This window comes from Homo sapiens, chromosome 3 (assembly GCF_000001405.40).
Source record: "Homo sapiens chromosome 3, GRCh38.p14 Primary Assembly".
In the NCBI taxonomy this organism is placed as follows: domain Eukaryota; kingdom Metazoa; phylum Chordata; class Mammalia; order Primates; family Hominidae; genus Homo; species Homo sapiens.
Window position 1 is genome coordinate 171340127 of NC_000003.12, and position 12343 is coordinate 171352469.

The 12343-nt window shown below is 38.5% G+C and overlaps 1 protein-coding gene across 9 annotated transcripts in view, besides 2 other annotated features; it reads right to left on the reverse strand.

Moving 5' to 3' along the window:
- TNIK (TRAF2 and NCK interacting kinase) overlaps positions 1-12343 on the reverse strand; it is a 401995-nt gene that overhangs the window by 281713 nt on the left and 107939 nt on the right. The window contains exon 3 of one of the 9 annotated variants that reach the window (NR_027767.2): positions 6804-7092. The exons of the other annotated variants lie outside the window; for them this stretch is intronic. The gene's annotated coding sequence lies outside the window, so the exon portion shown is untranslated. Of the gene's footprint in view, positions 1-6803; positions 7093-12343 lie in introns of those variants that run through there. 9 annotated transcript variants of the gene reach the window in all.
- Positions 3795-3884: a silencer, noted in NCBI's record as "silent region_14892". NCBI's record gives its function as "represses an Ori minimal core promoter by ATAC-STARR-seq in GM12878 lymphoblastoid cells {active_cell/tissue: GM12878}" and the evidence as "EXISTENCE:reporter gene assay evidence [ECO:0000049][PMID:35858748]".
- Positions 7359-7408: an enhancer, noted in NCBI's record as "active region_20814". NCBI's record gives its function as "activates an Ori minimal core promoter by ATAC-STARR-seq in GM12878 lymphoblastoid cells {active_cell/tissue: GM12878}" and the evidence as "EXISTENCE:reporter gene assay evidence [ECO:0000049][PMID:35858748]".

A 12343-nucleotide genomic window follows, 5' to 3' on the forward strand; every position in this document is an offset into this window, starting at 1 on the left:
TGCTAATATTTTTAAAGTTACAATACTTTACATGAAGTATGATCCTAACCATGGGAAAATGTATTTTTAACAAAAAGGCCAGCAATAGTCTCTAGGCAGTTGGACTATGAGTGATTAAGGATTTTCATTTTCATTTTTCTACATATTTCTACATTTCCACAATAAGCATTCATTACTTTTGTAATGTAAATAAAATGAGTGTAGTATTGTAAACCAGTTCTAAAGCAGATATGACAATCCCTTGACAATACTTAGCCCAAACATCTCAGCCATTGAGATCTGAATTACTAACCTGTGATTATCAGTAAACCGAATACATAAACAGGATGAGTGCAGTTTGAATTTTAATTTACTCCCATTTCAAGTTAGTGAACAAATCTACAGACTGAAGTAGGGTACTGCCTGATCCCATGGCACACAACTCAAGTCTTCTGAAGTGCCCTGCATCGTGCCTTGTTGATTATACTTACTCGTGGACTTTACTCCTTTCTCCCACAAGGCTACCTATCAGCTAGCTTTCTAAGGATATTCTTTTAGTGCCTAACACAGAACTCTGTGTTTAACTGGTGTACCACAAATGCCTATGGAGCAAGTTAATTTTTGAAGTGTACCGAATTGATTTCAAAGCAGTCAGCTTCTTCCAAAGTTGTCCTGGAAAACAGAAAAACAAGAAAACAGGCAGTCCAATTGAAACAATCTCTCAAACTCTTCTGTGGTCCAAAAGTCACTCCTCTGTCTGTTTCAACACAATGACCTGAGGACTCTTGGTATTTGGGAGGGAAAAAAAAAAAGCCTACAAATTTGGAAATAAGTAAGCTGTTCTCCTCCAAGAACAAAATTCTGAAAGGATGGAAGAAGAGAGCTATTGGAGAGGTAGCTAGGGGTTACTGATTTTAATATTCATTGGAAAATATATAACAGACTACAAAACCATGAGCTTATGGCTATTAATGCAGTTGTAAATGGGACAAAAAGAGTCAATTTAAATAAATCTATTTTGTTAGTATAGTACAAGTACCTGTATCAAATCCACTACAATGTACACTTAAGAATCACATATTTTGGGCCGGGCACAGTGACTCATGCCTATAATCCCAGCACTTTGGGAGGCCGAGGCAGGTGGATCACTTTAGGTCAGGAGTTCGAGACCAGACTGGCTAACATGGTGAAACCCCTTCTCTACTAAAAATACAAAAATTAGCCAGGTCTGGTGGCACAGGCTGTAATCGTAGCTATTTGGGAGGCTGAGGCAGGAGAATCGCTTGAACCCAGGAGGCAGAGGTTGTAGTGAGCCAAGATTGCACCACTGCACTCCAGCCTGGCCGACAGAGCGAGACTCTGTCTCAAAAAAAAAAAAAAAAAAAAAAAAAAAAAAAAAAAAAAAAAAAAAAAAGCCATATATTTTGCTGTATGTAAATTTCATCTCAGCTTTTTGTTTTTTGTTTTTTAAGTAAGAGAATAATAGTACAAGTGCTGTGCAGATGTGGCAGAAAGCCCAAGGCATTATGCGGAAACAAAAGCCCAAAAAATAACGTGATCATTTTACAAACATTCACTAAACACATACCCTGTATCAGGCACTGGTCTACGCAGTGGTAGTAGCCTAGTCTTTATCCTTATGGCAGTTACAGTCTAATAGGAGAGAGGCTTAACTCAAAAATAATCCATACGTTCATTCCAGCTCACCAAGCACTGTTGAATCCACCATCTTATTTGATCCCAACAGAGATCTCCTGAAGTTGGCAGAGCTATTGCTAGAAGTTTGCAAAAATGGACCCAGTGTACAGCAAGCCCTATACCCCATCCCAAAGTAATATTCCTTCATATCCATGTATTTTCAAGATGTTTTACATTTTTATTATGAAGAAAACCAACCATCTTGGTTTAAAGTAACTTTGTTAATGTTTTGCTGTGGAACAACATATAATAATTTAAATATAACCAAAAGATCCATTGAGTTTGGCCTCTTTATGTTACTCATATAAATTACGAAGACTAGATCTGAAACTATAAAGCTTTTAAAGCTGTCAAACTTTAGTGTGCATGGGAATTACCTGGAGGGTTTGTTACCCACAAACAGCTGGGTCCCAATCCCACAGTCTCCAATTCTTCAGGTCTAAAGTGGGACCAGATAATTTGTATATCTAACAAGTTCCCAGCAGATGCTGATGTTGGTGGTCCCAGGAACATATTTTGAGAACCACTGGTCTAGATTAAATTGTGAAACAACCTGAGTCTCAGTGGCTCAACAGAGTTTTGTTTACTCAGTAGGAATACGTGTTCTCCACAGGCTGGCAGAAAGGCTTTGCTTGTTGCAATCACTCAGAAATCATCACTCTCAAGCACCTTATGGTACCAGAAAATGAGGATTCCTTTCAAAAAACAAAAAAACAAAAAAAGAGGGAGGTGTCTCTGTGGCAAAGGGGCACAGCAGACAACTGAGAGTTTCCAATGGCCAAAGCTGGAAAAATTTGAGCAACAAAATACATAAGGTTGTATTAGAATATAACCCAATGTACAAAATAAAATACACATGAATCTATATTGATATGAATAAATGAATGAATAAATGGGGCAGAAAAGACAAATCTCCTATGCAGAAGAATTCAAATAATGTATGCAGTTACTCTATCCTTGATATGGTTTGGCTGTGTCCCCACCCAAATCTCATATTGAATTGTAGCTCCCTAATCCCCTCATGTCATGGGGGACCCAGTGGGAGGTAACTGAATCATGGGTGTTGGTTTTTCCCATGCTGTTCTTGTAATAGTGAGTAAGTCTCATGAGATCTGATGGTTTTATAAAGGACAGTTCCCCTGCACCTGCTCTCTTGCCTGCCACCATGTAAGACATGCCTTTGCTCCTCCTTTGCCTTCCACCATAATAATGAGGCCCTCCCCAGCCACATGGAAGTGTGAGTCGATTAAACCTCTTTTTCTTTATAAGTTACCCATCTTGGATATATCTTCATAGCAATGTTGAAATGGACTAATACAACCCTCAAGGTAGAGTCTAACTCCCCACTTCTTAGCTGTGGGCTGCACATAGGGACCTGCCAAAGAATACAGCATGGAGAGGGGTGAGCCGTTTACAGTAGAGAAACCTGACAGTCACTGCTGCATCAGCCTCAACAGGGATAACTCATTTTGATAGTATGTTACTTCAATATGATGTAATGAAAATGAGACTAAACTAGTGAAATCCCAATAAAATGAGACTAAACTAGAGAAATCTCAATAAAGCATCAATCTTACTTATAATTCCAAAACAAAACACCAAGGCTCCCTGAGCAGCCACCATCTCTCAGGTTGTTGGTCACCTTCACTGGGGAAAGAGAAGCCTGAAGGATCTGGCACCAGTAATTAAATGTGCCCAGGATGGAGGGAGTACAGAACTATTTGAACAGTATCAATGACTGCCACAGCACCTGCTTGCAATTCTTTGAAACAGAACCTTTGTTCACTTATGCTGTTCTGCAGATTCTCTGGAGTCAACCTCTAGGTGAATGGGCATTGAGACTAAGCCTGCTGCATGGTTTCCAGGCAGAGATTATTTATACCACATCTCATATTTTCCTGCCTCTCAAAGTGCCTCTAGAGTTATATATCCTAATGGAGAATTCTAGTCTTTCTTCTCCAATGATTCTTTTGATTTATCTCCAAATCAATGTATCATCACAACCAAGTAGGTTATTATTAAAGAGGTGTTTGGTGGTTTACCCAAAAGGCATAAATGAGTTTAGATGCCTCACTCACTTGTTTCAGTAAAACAAAAGGGGGAGTTCCTTCCTCATATGACTCTGCTCAACCAATTTACAAACCAAGCCTTCGACAGTCTAGTCTGAGCAGAAATCAACATTTCAAACTGAATGTGTTTCCTCCCTCCTTCCCATTGCTCAACTTAGTTCTTAAATTCTGTCTCTTCCTAGAAAGTTTCATTTATTTCTCATCTTTTCTATGCCTCCCCAAAAAAGCAAAAAACCAAATAATTTTCCTTTAAACCCCATCCCATATCTTGCCCCTGTTTGCATTTCTCTTTATATGATTGCAGCACAGCTTTAGTATTCATTTTACGTTCACATTTCTGGGAGTTACAAACATCTGACCCTCAGTGGGCAATTCTGGTTACCTCTTCCCAAAGGACAAGATTTGACCTTGAGATTGCTTGCAAACTCCAAAGCTGTCTCTTTCCATAAATAAATATTCTTTACATTTTTTATAGGCTATTGAACAACCACAAGAAAGTCTTGCTTCTTTGTAGGGGTTCTGAGGTGATAGTAGGGGTGATGGTAGTAGCAGTGGGGTGTGTGTGTTTTCATTTTCCTTTTTCTCCTAATGCAGTGTTTTTATGGGACAGATATGTTATGGTCATTCAAATTTGGAAAGCTGTATTAATATCACACAAGAAAGGTACTGATGACCTTATTTCTGCTAAGTATTAGGTGACCGGACCTTCCTATTTTGCACAGCTCAGAATTGTGAAAGTGACAGGCTAAGTTCTATAAACATTGCTCCAAAATATAATCACACCAAGATGGAACAGTGTTTAACCCACTAAGTGTACTTTTCTTAAATTACCTCTTTTTACAACATTACGAAATTCTCGTTTTTCTTAACTGACTCCTCCTGCTTGAAACGATCCCCATTTAATTACAACAAATTCACTAAGATGGCTTTGAATTTTTAGCCTTGCCAAAATTATAGATCCTATTTTCTGGAGTGAGAATATTTAACTCTCTTTATATTTGCAACACAGTTCTCATAAGGACTAAATGATTTAGGAGCTGCCGAGATTAATAACTCATTTGTATATATATATCATCTACTTTGGCCCAGGCTCCAACACTATCAACACTTACCCTAAATTGATGTTCCCTATCCTTTATAAGAGATAATGAATTCGTCTCATGGCCTAGAGCACACAGTGACATCTATGGTCTCAACTGATGTGAATCAACCCTCTCAGGGTTGGGAATATGTCTTAATTGTATACTTGTTCTTCAACACAACTACTGCTTCCATTTGATTTCTTCCCCCTTTTACTTACTGAAATGATTTTCATTCTTACCTCACTCATCAACTTGTCAATTAGAGAACAGGAGCTATTTCCTTTTTTGTTTGGGATTCTGGCTGCAGCCCAGGCACCATTTTCCAAGTAATTAATGAGCCCTGCAATGTCCTGGCTTGTGACCACCAGTCTCTTCCTTTGTTATATTACATCTTGCCTGGAGAAGGACTCAATGCAAGAGCAGGCAATAGGCTGCCACTTGACAAAGAGCAAGCTGTTATTTTTAGGTGAAAACACCGAGTTTTTTTTTTTTCTTTACTTTTGCCACATGACAACATAGGTGTTGGTAGTTAAATCTTAGGCTCACAAAGAAAGCCCTAGAAGCAGAAGTATCTATGGTTATGGATTTCTAATAGACTGTCAAGAGCTGCAATGGAGCATACAATCATAGGGTGGGAACTCGACCTTCACCCTCACCCTCAAGCCTAGGCTATTTGCACCACATCAGCATATGAGAGAAAAAACACCAGGGAACTCAGTTTTTGGTGAAGGGCAAGAAGAGGTCAAAAGGTGAAAATGGACTTTTTTTCCCCTTCCTTATTCCTTAGTTGCAAGGGGATAAAATAGTAAGCTTTTCTTCATTATGATCATTCATGCATTCAAAAAATATGCTTTTAGTATCATCTAGTTGTTTTAACATTGTTTTAGGTGCTAAGGATGGAGTACTCAACAAAAACAGAATCCTTATTTATCTACAAGGCACAGTCTAGTGAAAAGAGACTGAAGTGAACAAATGAATGAATGAATGATGAATGGATGGATGGATGGTAGATGGTGATGAATGCTACGGGAAAAAAATTAAACATGGTAAGGGGAACAGGGAATGGAGAGGGTGGGGTGTTATTTTCTATAAGGTGGTCAGGGAAGGCCTCTCTAATAAAATGACATTTGAGTAGAGACCTGGAGAAAGTGAAGGAACAAGCAACAGAGGTGTCTGGAGAAGAGGATCACAGGCAGATGAAACAGCAGGAAGAAGGGCACTGCAGTCAGACTCTGCTTGGCGTGGTTGATCATTAATTACTCTAAAAGCTTAACAATCTATGCAGAATTGAGTCACTGTAGATAAATGCCTTCAAGTCTCTACACTGATTTTATGATTTTTGAAGAAAAATCACTGAAGCTGTATTATGTAACCTTGTGCCCTATTAAAGATATGGTCCATAATTAAACATTTTCTGATGACTTGGATATGTAAGTATGATTCCTTATTTATTCATATACACCTTGCGCATGTCATCCTTGCACTGCACTCTACTTATTCTTTAAATTATTGAGCAGCCAGTCTTTGGTAGGTCTGTGCTAGTTACTGGGAATACTGTGGTAAGCAAAGTAGACAAGTCTCTGGCCTCATGGAGCTTATAGTCTGATAAATATATTATTCAACCAATGTGTATCACTATAATCTGAGTTTAGCACCCCACCAGAATGTGCCGGGGGTATGAAAGCCCAAACGGGGCCTGGGATCTTCTGGAGGATGAAGAACAGTTTTGTGAGAAAGTGACATGGAGTTAATAACAGGAGAAGAACATTCCAGGAGCAGGAATGTGCAAAGGTCTTGAGGCAGGAGGAAGCAAATTAGGTTTTCTGTGTAAAGAGAAAGCAGTATGTCTGGATCCCAGAGAGTGAGAAAGAACAGCACTAAGAAGAAGGTTGTGTTCAGATCATCCTGGGCCTTGTAGGCTAAGTTTACTCTTGATCACATGGGAAATCATTCAAAAGGTTTTAAACAGGAGAGAGACATGATCAAATAAGCATTTTAATATGACTTTACTGGCTGCACAGTAGGAATGTAGGGGCTGCAAGGATAACATCAAGGGACAGTCCTGCAGGCGTTCATATGAGAGATGTGCAATGCCTGTGCTAGGACAGTGGTGGCAGAGACAGAAAACAGAAGAGAGAAATCAGGAACCATTTAGGAAATAGGATCAGCTGGGCTTGGTGATGAAATTCAGGAGATGATGTCATGGGTGACTCCTAGTTGGTTCTTGGAGTTGTGATAATGCCCTTCACTCACTGGTTCATTTGCTGAAAAAAAAAAAAAAAGAAAAGAAAAATGACAAAACCCTAGCTCAGGCACCAAACACATAGAGCACACTCTCTTCTCTTTGACAGCCAAGCTAGTTCTAAGTAGCATCTAGATGCCTGGTATACAAGTCCTAAGTGCCTGCAGAGCTGGCCCTCAGCTGAGAAGTGCCTATCACACACACACACACACACACACACACACAAGTAAAGAGAAGCCAACAGGCTACATTAGATTCAGGATAAATGAGCTAGCCCAAATGACTTCTTCTATTTCAACTCCACTATCATTGCATTTAACTGGTCACACCTACAAAGCAATCAGCAAACTGGGTGACTCATTAGGATTTTCTTTTCAAGAGAGCAAAGAACCTAAATAAAGATCCTTGAATTTAGCGTACAATACCCAGGAGTCATCGGAGCAGCAGCAATTTGGGGGAACTTCAAGTGTGGTATTTCGGTTTGAGTGGGGAAGTTAGAAATCAGAACTGATCTCACAAACAAAAAGCTTTTATAATAGCCTGTCCTAGATAAGAGAGTAATGAGAGGACAAAAGGGGAAAGCCATCCCCCTCTTAATACCAAGGAAACCTAGGGAAGTGACTTCTTAAAAAGGAGGTAAAAGCAGCAGTTTTAGTCACTCATCAAGAGTGACTGTTCTTCCTCTTTGCTAGAAATAGCTAAGAGAGTGTAAATCACTCACTAGGCTCTAAGAAAAGAAGACTTACAAATGAGCTTGAAACCAAATAGTGCTGTGTAGATTCTTCTACCATCTTCTAAAGAATCTGCATGGACTTACTTATTCACTGTTAAGGTTGTCTGTGCATGGTAGCCACAGTGCTAGGATGATATCTATAGTTTGTTTTTGACAACAAGTAAATCCATTATAAACCCAATTTCTTCTCTTGAGCACAAGTTTAAAAGGAAAAAAAGAAAAGCTTTTCTACTTTAACATGCCTCATGCCTGTGCTTCCAAACCAGAGCACAAGTACTCCCTGGGGCACTCAGCTCTATGCCAAGTATTACAGCAGCAGGAAACCATAGATTTTGTTTAAGTCAACCTTTCTATAGTAATTTCATTAACATAATTTTAAACTGACGCAACAATGATTATCATGTGGCATAAAGAGAATCCATCTAAATTTTAAGGATATAACAGAAGATTCCAAATACATTTCATTTTTGTGGTTTCCACACCACCACCGAGTGAAGCCTTTAGATCTCTTGAAGAGGATGGGGTGGTTACAGGCCAACGAACGTATCCATTAGATGCAGACAGCACAGGACCTAGAGCCTACAGTACTTTTTGCAGTCAACAAAAAATTATTCTTATTTTAAAATTAGAAGATAAAAACTAATTCTTAGGCCAAAGAAAATGTTTTAACATATAATATTTGTCTTACACCAATGAGGTTATAAAGCCTAATTTTTAACTTTTTGTTGTTTTATTTTTCTTGGAGAAAGGGGCCCACGGAGGCAAAAATGGGGAGGGCCTACAACAGTCATACTACAGCACCGGGTAGTGCTTTCATTTGTGTTTGAGTCCCTCTCCTCTGCTATGCTGGTAAGCCTCAAACACAAATGAAAGTGTTATTTCTTAAAGTATAGTGGTCCAAATACCAACATGATTTAGTGAGACAAGGGCAAATATTTTAATTTAAAAAGTATGTACTATATTTTTAAATATAGCTGAAAATATTGAGTTTCTCATTTACGGTAGCAACGAATTTTCTTTTTGAAAAATTTAAGTAAATAAAATACTTTAATGAAAAATATTAAGCAAAAAGACTGCAAGTTCTAGGATGAACTTGGAAAAAAAAAAAGAGGTTGGTATTGCTGAATGGCTGAAAACTAGTGATATCCTAGAATCCTAGAAATACTAGGATTCAGACTCTCAGCTATAACACCCAAAAAAGTTTCCATATAGATCATCAACTACCTTCATCTCTCAAGAAAAACAGTAAAACATGACCAGAACTTCCACCACCAATCTACTGGGAAAATTAGAAATTTTGGATAGTGGTCTGAGTGCTTATTTATATTTTAAATCACATATCATATTTTTCAGAATTAGTGGTTCACACTGGCAAGAGAGCAAGAAATATTTGTTGGTTGGTACAAAGCACCTCCTTTTACTAGCCCATGAAACAATCCTACAATAACTCTTGTATTGTACAAAGAGAGGCAGATGATTGATAAAGATTCCCACAAGAATAAGACATTCACAGAAAAATGAGATCAGCCACTGCAGTCCTACCAGCTGGGATAATTTTACAAGGGTCAGACAGCTCCAGGGCATAAACTAATCACTTCAGGGTGAGGAAGAAGCTGACTCCTGATTCCCAAGAGGCAGTGTCACACAATTAGATTGTTTATTCTAGCTCAACACAAATTTGACACATTTCCCCAAAACTGCCTGTCTAGGGTCCTGTCAAAACAGGATGATGGAAAGTCAGAATAATGTTTTAGCCCAGTATTTCCAACATTCCTGTAATCCATTCCATTTCAGTCATGTTTTGATGTAAAGGATATTTTCCCCACTAATATTTGAAAGCTATCCATTCTTGCGTATTCTAGTTACACCGAGCATACATTCATTGTGGAATAAGCAGCAGCCAATGGTATCCAGGATCTTCTAAAAGTAGTATTCGAGGGCTTTTTTTGTATGTCTTAAAATTGTTAAATCTGAGTGAATGAACTTATCTACTCCCAAAGCAAGATCTTAAGTTGTTTTTAGTGGCCAATGAAATCTTTCCCAGGGAGCTAGAAGATGGGCTACCCAAAGGAAAATATTCTATATATTTTTCAATGAACATATAGAAGAATTACAGAACAAACAAGACATAAAATACAACATTATAGCAAATGTTTTTGAGGAGGGTGAATGAGATTCTTAATTAGTTCTTTTGCCTCTGCCAATATTGTCTATACCATTGTCCTTACACAATATTTACACAAAATATTGCAGCTAATAAGCAGAATCAAAATTTGAACTCAGATCTGCTTAGATCCAAACCTATGGTCTTAACCTCTGTATTTGTTCCAGAACAGTTCCTGGAACAAAGCTGGTAGCCAAGAACAAACCTGGTAGCCAATCCGTATTTGTTGAATCTGAATCTAGATTAGGAACCAGGCTGTTTGATCCAGGATTCTGAGGTGTTTCTAGAGCTCTTTACAACTAATCTCAACACCCAGAATGAAAAAGCTCTCTATGACATTTGAAGATATTAGATGACTACATCTGATAATGCCACATTCAAATATTTTCTGTTAATTCTTCTCCCTGTTGAAATCCAATTAGCATGAGGAAAATTAACTACTGCAATTAAGAGGAAGAGGAAGTGAAAGATTTCCATATAACAAGTTTAAAGCTCTGTTGCTAAAAAAAAAAAAAAAAAAAAAAATGCCCAAAGAAACTCAATCCTGTAACTGAATTTCAGATAACAGAGTATACTGCATACATAAAAACTAACTTTTTTGAGTACTCACTGTATACCTAAAATTCTTCTAAATGCCATTTCATGTATTATCTCATTTAATCCTTATGAGCTAGGTACTATTATTCCTAAATTTCAGAAGAGAAAACCAAAGCACAAAGAGGTTAAGCAATGAAGCCTAGGTCTACCAATAAGTGGTAGAGCCAAGATTCTGGTCCCAAGGGATACAACCCCAAACTTTATGCTTTTAACCTGCTGCTTCCCATAATAATAACACTTGCTGGACACTTTAATCTGTCTCATATATTCTTTTTTCTTAACCTCCACTTCCTGGGTTCAAGCTATTCGCGTGCCTCAGCCTCCCAAGTAGCTGGGACTACAGGCACGTGCCTCTACACCTGGCTAATTTTTGTATTTTTAGTAGAGATGACGTTTCACTATGTTGCTCAGGCTGGTCTCGAACTCCTGAGCTCAGGCAATTCACCCACCTCGGCCTCCCAAAGCGCTAGGATTACAGGCCTGAGCCACCATGGCTGGGCTGCCCTATGTATTCTTCATGCAAACTATGTTATTTACTTTCCCCAACAACCATAGAGAAAATATATATATATATGTATATATGTGTGTGTGTGTGTGTATGAATGCATGCAGATATAGGAGGTGTGTATATGTGTGTCTGAGTGACTATTCTCTATCCTATCACTGTAAAAACACTTGACAGATCTCTCAACCATTGAAAGAAGGTCATCTTAGATCTTCTATATAATTAATCAAAAGAACTATTCATACAAAAATTGCATTATGTGTCATCTTCATTTTTCATTAGGTATTTTGATTGGATGTTGTTTTTGAGAGGAAAAGAATTCATTTATTCTCATGTTCTTGTTCTTTTTCTCATTTTAATATGAAATAACAGCACCAGAGAAAGTTCCAAAATATCTTGAAGGACAGAGTTTCAGGGCTATCATTGCATTTGTAAGAGTTGGGAGGAAAATTTCCAATTCATAGTAGTAGCCAAATGTTGCAAATCTTCATGTACCCTCCACCTAAGTATTACAGACTCTGCATCATGTAACCTGGTTACTGCCAGAATTGAGATCTCCCTTCTCCTCTTCACTTATCCAAATGTGTGATTCATCTCTGTGGGATATGACAAACCAACCACACTGGGCAAAAAGGCCCTGCCTGAGCCCTCTCAGTTCCCAGGAGAACCATTCAACACAAAAGTTAAATGGTGCATTTCAGGCACCCTGCCCATCCTGAACCCTGGATTTATGCCAAGGAAAGGCATTCCACTAATCAAGCTATCTCTAGTCCTCAGGACCAAGGAGATGGCCTAATCTCATGCTTCCCAAAGTTAAATGGGCATATAAATCACCTGGGAGTCTCGTTAAAAAGCAGATTCTGCTTCAGTGGGTTTGGAAAGGCCTGAGATTCTGCATTTCCAACAATCTCCCAGGAGGTGCTGATCATGCTGCTGGACAGCAGGCCACACCTGGAGTATCAAGGGTCTAGTTCATACACAAATGCAAAATTGGGCTTCAAAGAGAAGTGTTTGATTTTTTGAAAGGTTCATCCTGGGTTCTCATCCAGGGTGATCCATAAAATTTTCCATATCTTCATGTGGCATTAAAAACTCCAGACAATCCTCAGAAAAATCTATTCACCTTTTAAGCCTTTGGATTCCACAAGGCTACCACACCCCAAGTATGGAGGGAGACCATTATTCCATACATAACTTTAAAGGCATCCCCTTTGTGACTTAGCCACATGTTCTTTTGTGTTATTTATCCAAAGAATAAGCAACTGATAATTTCA